This window comes from Homo sapiens, chromosome 15 (genome assembly GCF_000001405.40).
Source record: "Homo sapiens chromosome 15, GRCh38.p14 Primary Assembly".
NCBI lineage: Eukaryota > Metazoa > Chordata > Mammalia > Primates > Hominidae > Homo > Homo sapiens.
Window position 1 is genome coordinate 80,548,664 of NC_000015.10, and position 15,293 is coordinate 80,563,956.

General features: G+C 44.8%; 1 protein-coding gene and 1 long non-coding RNA gene across 2 annotated transcripts in view; one reads left to right on the forward strand and one right to left on the reverse strand.

Annotated features, from left to right (window-relative positions):
• Positions 1-15,293, forward strand: part of ARNT2 (aryl hydrocarbon receptor nuclear translocator 2) — a 193,552-nt gene that overhangs the window by 144,282 nt on the left and 33,977 nt on the right. The window contains exons 9-12 of the mRNA NM_014862.4: positions 2,536-2,612; positions 3,977-4,111; positions 6,402-6,476; positions 14,425-14,576. Coding sequence (NP_055677.3) covers positions 2,536-2,612; positions 3,977-4,111; positions 6,402-6,476; positions 14,425-14,576 — 439 coding nt within the window. The remainder of the gene's footprint in view (positions 1-2,535; positions 2,613-3,976; positions 4,112-6,401; positions 6,477-14,424; positions 14,577-15,293) is intronic.
• Positions 5,946-14,281, reverse strand: ARNT2-AS3 (ARNT2 antisense RNA 3). Its single transcript, NR_120363.1, has 3 exons — positions 14,199-14,281; positions 11,393-11,504; positions 5,946-8,270 (listed from the first exon to the last, which is right to left on the reverse strand). It is a non-coding gene; the product is annotated as an ARNT2 antisense RNA 3 (long non-coding RNA).

Consider the following 15,293-nt stretch of genomic DNA (forward strand, 5'->3'; position numbering starts at 1 on the left):
GATTAAATACTTAGGAATAATTTTAATGAGTACACAAAGTACAAGTATATATGAGGAAAATTTGAAAACAGTCCTGAAAGACACAAAAGTAGGTTTAAACAAATGAGAAAACATCCTTTGTTCTTGGGAGGATAACTCAACATTGTAACTTCAGGAGATGTCAGTTCTCCTGAAGTTAATTTACAAATTCAATGCAATCCTAATAAAAATATTATCAAGCTATTTTATGGAGTCAGATAAGTTGGTACTATCAAAGTTCCTGTGGAAAAACATACCTTCAAGAATAGCCAAGAAAAAATACAACGAATAGTCCTACCAGACATTAAAACATACAATAAAGCCTCTATAATTAAAATAGTATGGTACTAGTGCCTGAATAGACAATTGGGCAGTGCAATAGAAGAGACAGTCCAAAATTAGACCCAAACATGTATGGAAATTATATGATAAAGTTGGCATCTCAAATCACTGCAATTTAAGAAAATGTTGATGGGGCAACTGGATAGCTATTTAGAGAAAGATAAAATTAGATTAATATCCCAAAACTCCCAAAAGAATAACTCTGAATGGATTAGGGATCTAAATGTGAAAAATAAAACCATAAAAGTATCAGAGGAAAACAAGAGTGAATTTTTCCTTAAGCTTTGTGTAAGAAATAGCTTTCTAACTATGACTCAGACTCCAGAGGTAAAAAAAGGTTGATAAATCTTACCACATAAAATTTTTGAAATTTTTAAATCACCACAAAGTCAAAAGACAGGGGACCATCTGGAAGAACATATTCATAACATATACCGCAAGGATTTAATATCCCAAATACAGGGAACTCTTAAAAATGGACAGGCAAAAGATCCAAATAGAAAAATGGGAAAGAGACAGAAGCAGACAATTCACTAAAAAACAAGATATAAAAAATGATCCTCAAACATAAAAAGTAATGTTCAAACTCACTCATAATTAGAGAAATGCAAATTAGGACAACACTAAGAAATCACTTCTCACCTGTCAGACTGACAAACATTAAATAATGTGACAGCACATTCTGTTGGCCAAGACTCTGGGGAAGCAGACCTCCTATACATTCCTGGTGGGAATGCAAATTGGTGCAACCCTTCTGGAGGAAAGTTTGGCAAAACAAAACTACATATGCACTTACCTTTTGACCCAGCAATCCCACTTCTAGGGATCCACTCCGAAAACGCACTTCTGATGATAATAAAACACATATGCACAAGGTTATTCATTGCAGCATTGTTTCTCATTGCAAAATATTGGAAACACCTAAACGTCCAGTATTTAGTGGTTGAATAAATCATGGCACATCAATAAGATGAAGCAGTGTGCAGTTATAAAAAAGAATTGAGGAAGAGCTGTATGAATGAATATGGAGTGAATTCCAGGACATAGTGTTCAGTGAAGTAAGCAAAGCCCAAGAGTGTCTACAGTAAACAGCTCTTCATAGAAGAAAGAAGAGGACATGAGAAAGTGTACATGTATCTGCACATTTGTGCAAAAGAAATGCAGTAAGGATAAACCAGAAATGAAAGAGACTGGTCACCTACAGAGGGTGAATGGAACAAGGATGGAAAGAAGACAGAATGTAGTGTAGTGAGAGTGACATTTCTCCGGCTCACAAAACCATAGTGATATTTAACGTGCTCTTATCAATGTCTGGAGTGAGGGGCTGTCACTGTACTTGTGTGACTCTATCACTGTGAACCCTTGGTCCGACCCAGTGTGGAAATATTTGCGTTAAGTGTCATGCAGTGTAAAAGGAAATGTTCTACTTAACAGCACTTGCCTATGAGGTATCAAAAAGGAATGCTTGTTTTCACTACGACAGTTCTAACCAACTGCAGATGTTTAAGAACCTTGCACTGTGAAGGACCCCAGATACCAGACCCACATTGGACCAAACAGAAGACTGTTTTCTAACCCCTGTGAAGAGTGAGGATTGTTTTAACCAGTTCCTTTCTATCTGGAGCACTAGTTTTCAGTGCTTAGCATAACCATCACCAGTGTCTCCTTTCTAGCCCTTAAACAACCCTGACTTCCCCCTACAAGGGGAAACACTGGTTGTGCTCCCTTGCCTGACAAGTTAGTAACCAGCTTCAGTGGTTTTTACTTGTGTTTCTTTTGCCTCAGATGGTCTTTGTTTCATTCTTTGTCAGCAGATAAGAGAGATATTTACATAAGCTGAAAGACCCATATTGGCTTCTTACTGAAATATCCTAAATAAATGTTTTGTCCAAGTTGTACAAGTGTACAGAATAACTATTTCCATTTCATCTTCCTTAATTTCCTCTGCATCATCCACAGATGGAGATGATAATGTACCATAAAATTATCAAAAGACATCAGGCAGAGAGAAGCAGGAACTGAGTGAGGAACTGGTTAATTCATTGGCTGGCTTCCCAGCCCTGCATGGCCAACACTCACTGTATTTTCGATTGCTTAAATAAAATCGTGGACACTTTTCTTCTTTCCCATTCACCTTGGGCATATTGTTGATGACACAGGTATTTCCCATTTCAGGAATGACCATACCTGAAGAAGACGCTGATGTGGGACAAGGCAGTAAATATTGCCTCGTGGCAATTGGGAGACTCCAGGTAAGAAAAAATTCGTAGCCTTTTTAATCTTAAATGAAGGCTTATTGCCACAAAGTGCAGAAGACTGTCGGTTTGGCTGCCTATTCTGATCACCTGTGTTCTTGGTATTTGTTGGGTTTCGTGTCTCACTCTGTGGGACAAGGCTGAGGCCAAATCTAGAAGAGAAGGGGACTGTGAGCTGTAAGCAGAGTTCTTACTGAATTGAGGGGTTGCATCAGTTCATCCCCCATGCTTGTGCTGGTTGCCACAAACTTGCGTTCTGCTCACATCACATCCCTGCTTAACCCCCTTGACTGTTTCCCCAGAGTCTATGGGATGAAGTCCAAGCTCATCATTACAACTTTATCTCCTTGCCTTCTTCCTCTCTCACATCTTATTCCCACACAGCACCATTCCCCTTTCTATAAACCCCCACCTCTACGGGTGTTCACAGGCTGTTTCTTCTGCCTGGTATTTCCTTGTTCTCCTTCTTCTCCTTTCAATGTTCCTTATCCTCCTTATCTGCTCATCTTTCAAGACCCAACTAAAATGTCTCCCTGATCTTAGTCTAAATCAATCCTTCTCTCCTCCCTATTCTCATAGCACTGAGCTCTACCCTCAGTTACTCTTCTTTCACTGTCTGTTGCAGGTAGTAAGTTGAGTGCATGCTCATCCCCGCAAGCTCCTCAAGGCCAGGGAACGTGTCTTTTATTGTGTGAAGGTTAAATTTGCTCAATGTCTGGCACACACAGTAACCACTCATTCAACTGGACTGTTCATTCTCCCTAGGACATTGAGGGTCTTCCCCATGCTGAAGAGGAGAGACATACTAGACCTGGTTCAGATACACTAATCCCTGGTTTCCTAGTTCTGACCATTTTCAGACAAATGAATAGGTAATTTCATCCATGTATGGGTATTGCTTGCACATGGGTGAAGAAAGAATATTTGGGTAAATTCAGTTCACAAATATATATGCTCCAAGTATTTTAACTAGTTCCTTAGGCTCGTTTGCCATCCTTAGTAAAGGGAAGGTGGGGGAAGAGAAGGGGATTAACATTTATTGAGCACCAACTTGAGCAAATGCCAAGGTTTAACATGCAATATCCCTTTTAAGGCTCACAAATGCCCTGTGAGATTATAGGTTTTATTATTCCCATTGGTTGATAAGGCAACTGAAGTTCAGAAATGTAAAGAAAGTGGCCAACTGTTACAGTTAAAGATGTGACCAGGGATAGATATTTGAACACTTTAGGGTCATCGTACTAAATGACATGGAAGGATCTTTGAAGTGAAATGCACATGGATTATTCTTCTCATCTCTGTCACCATCTCCATCTCGTCTCTGTCAACACCACCTCAACTGTGGATTTTCCCCATCCCAGGTGACCAGCTCTCCTGTATGCATGGACATGAATGGGATGTCGGTGCCCACAGAGTTCTTATCCCGGCATAACTCCGATGGAATCATCACATTTGTGGATCCAAGATGTATCAGTGTGATTGGCTACCAACCCCAGGTGAGTAGATAGTTTTGAGCCTATGGCAATTGACTAGAGATTTAATTGTTTTTAAAACATTCTTACTTCATTTGAGATACAACACAATGGCCATGTGGAGAAACATCATAAAGACCCATATACCCTGCCTAGATAGAACGATAGATATCCTTCCAAGGCAAGAAAAGACGTTGTAAACACTTGTGCCACTTAACATGGACTCTTTCTTCTTTGCCCTCACTGTTATGTTTCTCTAGTTGATTTTTCACAAACTGGAATTAAGATGTTCTATTAATAGGGGATCTCTTATTAATATTCATTACAAAGCTCATTAATGTGGAAGACCCTGCAAATCCTGGTAAAGATGCCTACCTAATTTTGCCTAACCTCTTGTTTCTCAAGTGCATTTGGAAACCTTTTTTTGTATAGGTGGCACGTCTTTAGGTCTGTGTTCTAGACTCTTTTTTGAAAAGTCAATGTCATAAGAAACAAAAAGGCAGGAGCAGTTGTCCCAGATTAAAATAGACCAAAGAGATAAAATAATAATATGCCACATAAGGGCCTTAATTGTGTCCTGGGCCTCAAGACATATTGATAGAAAAGACATTTAGGAGACAATTGAAATGTTAATATGTACAGAATATTGGGTGATGTCATTGAATAATTATTGATTTTCTTAGGTTTAGTATAGCACATGATAGCACATTGTCGTTTTGTAAGATAATCTCATTTTTATGAGATACATGCTAAAATACTTTGAGAAGTACCATGATGTCCACAACTCAATTTCAAATGGTTCAGTAAGAAATTAAGTATATTAAGTATATACATGCATATGTATGAATATATACACATATATGAAGAAAAAAATGCAAATGTGATAACATATTGATAATTATTGAATATACATAAAGGATATATAGCAGTTTATTGTACTATCAACTTTTCTGTAGATTTAAATTTATTTAAAAATAAAAAGCTTTTTTATAAAAGAAAAAATATTTATTCTGAGCAACTACGTTTGGGATATGTAGATATGAGTATTTTAATGATGTGTATTTTAGGACTAGAAGCAGTTCAAACTAGAACTATTAGGACTCTGCATATAATTCTGCATCTCTAGATTCATATAAACCTCGAGATTCTTGGATGAAATAAAGGGAGAAATTGATTTGTTTCCAAATTCACCCCAACCTCTGATGGCAGCCAGACCCATTTATCTAGTGGCACCTCCCAGGGGCATCCAGTTGCTCCTTGGCACACAGATAGGACTTCCCCTCCATTGCCAGTGTCAGCATTCACTTAGACCATTTGCTGATTTGGATTGCGATCTATGAGTTAGTTTAAATCTTTTGCTGTTTAAGACACTTCCTGGCCAGGCATGGTGGCTCATGCCTGTAATTCTAGCACTTTGGGGGGCCAAGGCAGGTGGATCACTTGAGGTCAGGAGTTAGAGACCAGCCTGACCAACATGGTGAAACCCTGTCTCTACTGAAAATACAAAAATTAGCTGGGCATGGTGGCGGGTGCTTGTAATCCCAGCTACTCGGGAGGCTGAGGCAGGAGAATTGCTTGAACCCAGGAGGCGGAGGTTGCAGTGAGCTGAGATCGCGCCATTGCACTCCAGCCTGGGGGACAAGAGTGAAACTCCATCTCAAAAAATAAAAAACATAAAATAAATTTTAAAAAATACACTTTTAACTGGACCACTTTACTACAACACTTTTGAAGTTATCCGTTAACAGTTTATCTTATTCTGATCAGTTTCATTGTGAAACACACTTTTGTTTTGGGCTAATGCTATGTCCTTTGAATGTAGCATAGACTAATGATGATAAATAGATAGTAAACAGGCTTTTAACAAGTACAGTTATTTTATGATAACCTCATTTTTTCAGCCACAGGAGAGCTACAATTTCCACATTTAAACAATTCCAGTTTTCATAAGCAACACATCTGTCCTCAGGCTATCATTTTGCTTTCTTTTTATGTTATTAAAGTATGTTTATTGCAGTTTGCCTCTCCAAGACAAACAAAAATAAAATTGCATTCTGAAGCTACTGATGTAGTGCCTTAGCAAAATTAGAAATGGATATTGAGCATGCCAGAAGAACTTAGAGTGAATACCAAGAAGCCAGTTCTCTGACGGCTCCCAGGGAAATTTTGCACTCACTTTTTCAAAAAATCTGGGGTGGGACAGGCTAAAGGAGATGAGTTAAAGGAGATGGAAATGAACACTGTTGTATCACAGTGAGTATACAAATAATTACAAATGGATCTGGGATTATTAAAGCTTGTCTCTTTTATTTAGGATCTTCTGGGAAAGGACATTTTGGAATTCTGCCACCCTGAGGATCAAAGCCATCTGCGTGAGAGCTTCCAGCAGGTACATACTGCCAGTACCCACTTAAAGCTGATGCATAGTCTGGGCACCTGTGGATGTGGCTGGCAGGACATTAGTCCTACTATGTGCCAGGCAGGCTGCAAGGTCCTACCTATGGCCTCACTCAGGGCCCCTGCTAGGAAGTCACTCACAGTCTAGTAGGGAAGACAGACACACATCAGTAAATAAGTACTATGTAATAGGAGGAGAACTCTAAAGGGTCATGAAGAAAAACATTGCAGAGCACAGAGGCTGGAGAGGTTAACTGCATGGGGAAGAGGCAGGAATTGTTCCAGGGGAGAGAATAACTGGGATGGGTCTTAAAGGATGAGCATAGAATAAATGAGTGAACATTCTAGACTGAAGGGGCAGCCCTAGAGATGCAAAAGGGAGAATCCTAAGCAGTTCCTAGTGGCTGGAGTGACACTGGCTGACTTGGAGGAGGTGGGCAGTGGTGATAGAATGAGCCTGGTACAGCCAAGTTATGAAAGGCCTCTTAACCCATGCTGAAGAACATGGATTCTCTCCTCAGTCATTTAAAGGTAAGTGAGGGCCAGGTGTGGTGGCTCATGCCTGTAATCCCAGCACTTTGGGAGGCCAAGGTGGGCAGTTCACTTGAGGCCAGGAGTTCGAGACCAGCCTGGCCAATGTGGCAAAACCTCTACTAAAAATACAAAAATTAGCCAGGCATGGTGGCACGCACCTGTAGACCCAGCTAGTTGGGAGGCTCAGGCAGGGGAATAGCTTGAACCTGGGAGGTAGAGGTTGCAGTGAGTGAAGATTGCACCACTGCACTTCAGTCTGGGCGACAGAGTGAGACTCTGTCTCACTCACTCACTCACTCACTCAATCAATACAAAGTTAAGAGACCGGGTGTGGTGCCTCACGCCTGTAATCCCAGCACTTTGGGAGGCCAAGGTGGGCAGATCATGAGGTCAGGAGTTCGAGACCAGCCTGGCCAACATGGTGAAACCCTGTCTCTACTAAAAATACAAAAATTAGCCGGGTGTGGGGGCGGGCGCCTGTAATCCCAGCTACTCTGTAGGCTGAGGCAAGAGAATCGCTTGAACCCGGGAGGCAGAGGTTACAGTGAGCCAAGATCGTGCCATTGCACTCCAGCCTGGGCGACGAGCAAGACTCTGTCTCAAATAAATAAAGAAAGAAAAATAAAATACAAATAAAGGTAAGCGAGGATGACTTTGAGGATTTTAGGCAGAGCAGTGTTTTGAAAAACCACTTTAGTAGCCCAGGTTTGCAGAAGAGACAGGTGGAGGAAATAACTGGAAACAAAGACAAGAGGCTTTAAAATTGTCCAAGTAAGAGGTGATGTGGCCAGAATATGGGCAGGAGCAGTGGGAATTTGAAATAGGGGGCAACTTGAGGAGACAGTTGTTTGATGAGTGCTGATGCTTTGGATAGACATGGTGAAGAGAGAGAGGGATTTAGGATGACCTGGGAGCCCAAGAGGGTGGCCACCTGAGTAACAGTGTCATGCACATCGTGACTGTTAGCTGCTGTGTACCGAGCACCTACTGTGTGCCAAACATATGGGAAGCCTTGTCCCATGCACTATTAAATCTGCACAGTAGTCGGAGGAGGTAGGCATCATCATCTTCATGTTACAGGTGAGTGTAGTGAGGCTTGGTGACCTAAAAGCACCGTCCCGCCACACAGGTGATGAATGAGAGAACCAGGATTCACATGGAGGAGTTTCAGCTTCCTGAGCCCAGGTTCAGCTGAGGTGAGAGAGAGAACACACCTCCTCTCTCCACAGGGCTCTCACATCTTGCTTCAGCCCTAGGAAAGAATAGAGCGGGCAGTGTTCTATTCAAGTAAAGAGGCCCTTGAGTTACTTTTCAAGAGGGAATAATAGTTTGTCATGCCTCTGAGAAAACATGTGCTTGACATTCTGCCTTACAAGTATCTAAGAGTGGGCCTCTCTGACCGCCAAGCCTTCCTATTGAAGGCGTTGCTATGTTTGCACAAATTGACACAGGACTCCAAATTTATGCCACGTATGTGGATAGAACTCTTAACCCCCACTCCTCCCTGCACACTCTGCTCCTTCCTTTCATAACATCAGCCACTCCTGGCTTTCTTCCCACTTCTGGCCTCCTCTGCTGGTTTCTCCTCTTCTGCCTTCTTCTACAAGCCATGATGGATGATGCCCCAGGGATCTCCCCTTGGCTGCCTTCTCTCCTCCCTGTGATGTCTCCCTGGATAATCCTACCCATGGGATGACTCCAGCCCAGACTGTCCCTCCTGCTCCACACTTGCTTATACACCACTGGGGTAGTAGCCCACTGGGGTCTACTTGAGGGTGGACAGTGGGAGGAGGGAGAGGAGCAGAAAATATAACTATTGGGTACTGGCCTTAACACCTGGGTGATGAAATAATCTGCACAACAAACCCCTGGGACATGAGTTTACCTATGTAACAACTGGCTGCTACTCCACACTGCCACGTGAATGCCCCACAGCCCTCAAATGCAGAATGCCTGAATCCTTTCCCAGCCCCCAGTCCTCCTCTCATCACCATCCACCTGTTTGCCCAGGCCAGAAACCAAGAAACATCCTTAGCCCTTCCCTCAATCCCACTCCACACATTCAGCCCCTCCTCTCTTTCTTCTTTCCTACCCCCCTGAACCAGATCACCCCATCTCCCATTCTGACCATTGCAGTCATTTCCTTGCTGGTCTCTCTGCTTTTACTCTTACTCTACTCCAAGCCATTCGGAAGACATAAATTAGGTTTTGCCACGTCTTTACTTAAAACATGCCAACAGGGCATTTAGAATCAAATCCAAGCTCCTTATCATAGCTTCATGCTGTATGTATACCTGGCCCCGTCTCATCCTCATGTGGACACTACTCTTGAGTCACGCTGGCCTTCTTTTTGTTCCTTGAACATGCTTTTCCCAACCTCAGGGCCTTTGCACATGCTGTTCCCCTGAGGGAATGCCTTTCCTTCACTCTTCACATTACTGACATCTTATCCTTCAGCTTTCCACTCATATTGTCTCAGGGATGCCCTCTGTGGTCACCCTAGCTAAGAAAGTCACCCCAGCCTCCTTCTAAGTCCCTTGTTTTCCTTCATAGCAACTATTTATTTGTCCATTGGCTTGTTTGGGGGGTTGTTTTTCTGTCTTCCTTACCAGAACCTGACCTCCCTGTGGGCAGACTTCATTACGTCTGTGCTTTTTTTTTTTTTTTTTTTTTGAGACGGGGTCTTACTCTGTTGCCCAGGCTGGAGTGCAGTAGTGGCACAATCTCGGCTCACTGCAACCTCCACCTTCCAGGTTCAAGTGATTCTCATGCCTCAGCCTCCCGAGTAGCTGGGATTACAGGCCTGTGCTGTCACGGCTGGCTAATTTTTGTATTTTTAGTGGAGATGGGGTTTCACCATGTTGGCCAGGCTGGTCTCAAACTCCTGACCTCAAGTGATCCGCCTGCCTCGGCCTCCCAAAGTGCTGGGATTACAGGCATGAGCTACCGTGCCCGGCCTTCATGTGTGCATTTGATCCTAATCTTCACCACTGAGTGTAGAGCCCTGTACAAGGGTGGCTCTCAACAAAGCAATCTAAATGGATCAAAACCCATAGCAACTGACTTTCATTTTGGAAAAATGTGAAATTGGAATGGTTAAGCATTGTAAGGGGATGTGTTTTTGTGCCATATGTTTGCTGACTATGTGGAAATTATGATAAACTTTGCATCGTTTAGCAGTCAGGTTTGGGCTGGGTGGGCTTTATTTTTGTGGGTTAATGGAAATGGAGCTTTAACAGTGGTGGGGGCCTCCATTCTGTGCCCAGTAACTGGCCAGACCCATTTCATTATCTTATGTAATCCTCAAACCTACACAGTAAGTGTTGTCTTCCCCATTTTTTTCACAGTAGACACTGGGAGGTGCAGTTGCCTGCCCCAGGTTACAGAGCCCAGGCCTGTCTCCCTCCAATGCATTCAATCACAACACCACACCCCACACATGGGCCTCTCCATCCAACAGCACATCCAAGGCTTCAGACTGCTGACGCTGTCAGAACCGGTTGGTTTTGAAAAGACAAAGAAGGAATTTAACATCTGATCCCACCCTGATATCCAGGTTAAGTAACTCTCACTCTGTGAGCAGCCACCACATTTCTCCAGTGGGATGGGAGGCCGAGACAGCAGTGCCGGCAGTCCCAGCCCCAGACCCAGCCCCAGCCCCAGCCCCGGCCACAGGGCACTGTGGGCAGCGGCCAAGCAGCCACAGGGACATCCTGGAGCACACCGCACCTCGGCCCCGTGCTTGTGTTCTTTGGTCTCCGGCCACTGACAGCCAAGGTGGGGGTCAAATGTTGATAAAGGGAAGTGGCTTCTTCTTGCAGAAGCAGGGAGGTGGCTACGTCAGCTAAGAGCCAGCTCTTGAACTCTGGATTTAAACAAAAGCACTTGAATAGCCCAGACAGGAGGCCCTTAGAACTTGTTTGTGAGGAATTTGAGTTTGAGGGGGTGAGAGGGAGCCAGCCAGGAACCGGGAAACTTGCCTCTGCTCTTGGATTCCCTCTCCAGGCACAGTTTACCTATAAGTCAAAAAGAGCTGAACTCTGTGAAAGTGAAAGCAGCCTCCCATCTCCCCCGTCTCCTCTCCACTCAGGCACCTTCCATGATGATGAGGATGTTGAAGGGGGCTGTTTTTATGAAGAGCCAGGCTAAGCCGGGTTTTACGCTTGGCCTTGGCCATCTACCGCATTGCACCTGGGTTAAGCACAGCCACGTGTATCACCCTGGTCTGAGGGCCTGGACAATGTCACCTGCACCATGCATAGCCAATCCCCCATCACATCTCAGGTTTCCCAGCCTCCCAACATTGGCCCATTGCTGTGCCTTCTGCCAGGAGAGCCCTCCCCACACATCTTCACTTGCCAACACTTTACCCACCTTCCAACTGTGTTCCAAACCCCATTTCCCTCCAGGAGCCGTCTTCAGATCCTGACTGCAGGTCATCTCTCCTCGCCCTCCTGGTAACCCCATGGCATTTCATCTTGTGTTTCTGTAGTGGCAGCAAGCATACTGTCTCTGGGTTACAGTTATCTACACATTGATCCTTCACCTGCTGGCTGAGAGGCTCTTTGGGGAGAGAGAATGTGCATTGGCAGTAGGGATTTATGCAAAGGGCTTTGGGGCCAGGTAGATCTAGGCTTAGGATCATAAGGCTTTAGGCAACATATTCAACTCCTTTGAGGCTCAGTTTCCAGGTTCACAAAATGCTGTTATGGGGACTGCTTGAGCTAACATGTCTAAGGTGCTTAGCCTATAACTTGGACCCAGGAGGGTGCAGAACTGCCCGCTCCCTTGTTCTGTTCTCTTTCCACAGCTCCTAAGGCTGAGCTTCCCTTTCCCCAGCTCCTAAGGTCGTGCCTTCTGTGTGCTAGTTGCATGGAGCTAACAAATTTCACACTGTCTCGGGCGTTCTAGTTAGAAGAAACAAACAAAAAAGAAGGACCGCCCTTCCTGTGCTTCCTCAGAGTGCAGAAGATGTGGGTTTCAAAACGTGGACAGTGACTCCCTATGTCCCCTGTTTTTGGTGCAGACACAGAGAAGTCCCTCTTGGTTGCTGACCTGAGAGGCACATGGCCTTGACCTCCAGCCCCAAGGGGAAACAGCCAGGTTGCTGTTGGGGCCGCAGATGTGCCTGGCCTTACTTACTCTGCAGCTCAGCCTCCTCCCCTGTGGTGTCAGGGACAGCCTCCCACCCTCCCAGAGCTCTTGGTTTGGTTTATTTATCACTCAGGGATTTCCCACCAGGGAGCCTTATCTGACATCCGCAGGCTCAGATCTTGTCTGGCTTCCCCTAGGGACAGTGTGGAGGGAGGATGGCCAGCCCCAGCCGTGGGGCCAGCACACCATTGAGTCCCTGCGGGAAGTGTGCTCTGAGAGCCTGCTCCTTGCAGGTCTTGAGGATAGAGATGGGGTATTCACAGGTGACCAAGATGTCCCTGTCCCCATGCTGCATGCAGTCTGGCCAAGACGACAGACACCACCGAAGAATAGACCACAAGTGTGGCGGGTGTGAGGAATGGGTGAGTCAGACCTTCCCTGATCACAGGGACCAAGTCCCCATTCTAATCTATGGTCACATTGTGATCTCTCAGTTGGCAAACCCGACTGCCATGGCCCAGAGATTTACCAGCCCTGATCTGGGGTCTGCACATGCCTGTGGAGGGGAGAACTCCTGCTCACTGTATTTTGTGCCAGGGGTGTAATCACACCCAGGCCTAGCCCCACCAGTCATTTATATCCCTTCTTCCATTTGTGCCTTGACCATGAGAACCACACCCGAATGCTACCTTCTGCACATATGCGTGCGTATTTCCGTGTCTGGTTTGCTGTGTGTGCATACAATGTATACAGCAGTCCCCCTTATCTGCCGTGTTGCTTTGGACAATTTCAGTTACCAGCAGTCAACCACAGTCCAAAAATATTAAATGGAAAATTCCAGAAAGAACTCATCAGTTTTAAATTGTGTGCTGTTCAGAGTAGCATGATGAAATCTTGTGCCTTCCCACTCTGCCCAGCCTGGAATGTGAATCCTCCCTTTGGCCAGTGTATACACACTATGTTCACTACCTGCCCAGTAGTCTCTTAGCCACCTCAGTTATGAGATCAACAGTATCTTAAGACTTGCATTCAAGTAGCCCTTATTTACTTAATAATAGCCCCAAAGTGCAAGAATAGTGATGCTGGCATATTGGTACAATTGTTCTATTTTATTATGAGTTGCTGTTAATCTCTTACTGTTTCTAATTTATAAACTTTATCATAGGTGTGTATATATAGGAAACAGCATAGCATCTATAGGGTTTGGTACTATTCACAATTCCAAGCATCCACTGGGGGTTTTGGATTGTAGCCCCCTTGGATAAGGGGGCACTGCTATATATTTTATTTATTCTTCTTCCTTCTTTTTTTTTTTTTGAGACTGAGTCTCACTCCATCACCCAGGCTGGAGTGCAGTGACGCAATGTCTGCTCACTGTAACCTCTGCCTCCTGGATTCAAGCGATTCTCATGCCTCAGCCTCCCAAGTAGCTGGGATTACAGGCATGGGGCCTGGCTGGTTTTCGTATTTTTAGTAGAGACGGGGTTTTGCCATGTTGGCCAGGCTGGAGCATATTTTCAATAGAACAAAGGGGAGATCTGTATAGCCAGAGGGACAATCTTGTGATTTGGAAATGAGATCTTGCTTCCTGTCCCAGCTTTTCCACCAAAGTTGTCTGATCTTGGATGACTTATTTAATTTCTCTGAGTCTCAGTATTATCAGCTGTAAATAATAAAACTCATCTTACCAAACTCTTATGAGGCTCTTTCTGAAGCAATACATTTGAAATCATATTACAACATCAAAGTGTCATACATAGAAACTTATAAATAAATAAATAATCCATAGAAAGTGATCATTTCATTACGTCTCCTACCAGAGTCTACTGACTCCATTTTACAACGTTAAGCAGGGTTAAGCATCTTGTATGTTGCCGTACCAAGAAATAAATCAATGAATACAATGTAGCTACATACCTGAGTGAGATAACTTGGGGGTGAGTGGAGAGCACCAAACCCAGAGTACCCTAGCAACCGAGGCAAAAAGAAAAACGCTCTGGCTTGCAGAGTTTTCATGATCTCATTTGTAAAAGCTAAATTAAAAGTTCTGCTATAAAGCAGGCATTGAGTGGTTGCTTTCTCATACCGTGGTTACAGAATGACCCAGATGCAGCACCCCATTTCACCAGAAGGTAGACGGAGGAGTTCCCATTGCAAAACTGCTCTCCCTCTCTTACTGTCTTTTAGCCACAATGCCCCTATTCTGAGGTCCTGCTGGCCCCTGCCGCAACCCCACTGCCTGCAGCTTCTCCCTCCTCCCGTTTGGCACCATCCTTCCTCCTGCTGACTTCCTTCTCCAAATGTTTTCTCAGGTGGTTAAGCTGAAAGGCCAAGTCCTGTCGGTCATGTATCGATTTCGCACCAAGAACCGGGAGTGGATGTTGATCCGCACCAGCAGCTTCACATTCCAGAATCCCTATTCTGATGAGATTGAGTACATCATCTGCACCAACACCAACGTCAAGTACGTACACTGCCATTTCCCTCTCCTGGAATCCACATGCGCTTGCTTGGGTCCAGAGCTGGCAATTTTATTTGGAGTTCTTTCTCCCTGCCGGCTCTCCCTGCAGCTGGAAATCCCTGTAGGATTAAGAATAGAGGAGACTGTAGGTCCCCATCACTGTCTCCCTCCCATGTTCCTCCTTCTCATTTCCCTCCTGATTTGTGAGAAACAAAAGAATGAGTGATAATCATGACACTCCCTTCCCTTCGGTGCAAGGTGCTCCAGTTTCTGCTCCTCTTTTCTTCCCCCTGAGCATGGACCTCAGCCAACTGGAGCTCTGCTGGGCCCCGCCTTGTTGCTCCCTGTTGCAGCAGCTGCTTGTGCCTGGTTTCTTGGTCCTACCGAAGCCGGGGGTGGAGGAAGGGAGGCTGAGCCTCTTGGCAGCTCTAGGGAATGGGACAGGTGGCCTGGGTGTAGGCACCTCAAGGACACATGATTTCCCTGCTGCCCAGCCGTGGAAGCATTCCTCCCTGCCCAGGGTCCGAGGATCCCAAGATCTCTGCTGGAATCACCACTCCTGTGTTCCATGCATGTTAGCAGACCTCACACCACTTCCTGGCTGTGCGTCCTTGAACAAGTCACTTCCTCTCTTCACCTCCCTCATAAGGTTGCTGTAAAGATTAAATGAAGTCAAGCTACAGGCCAGACACTTGGTTCAACTTCCAGCACAGTGAGCAT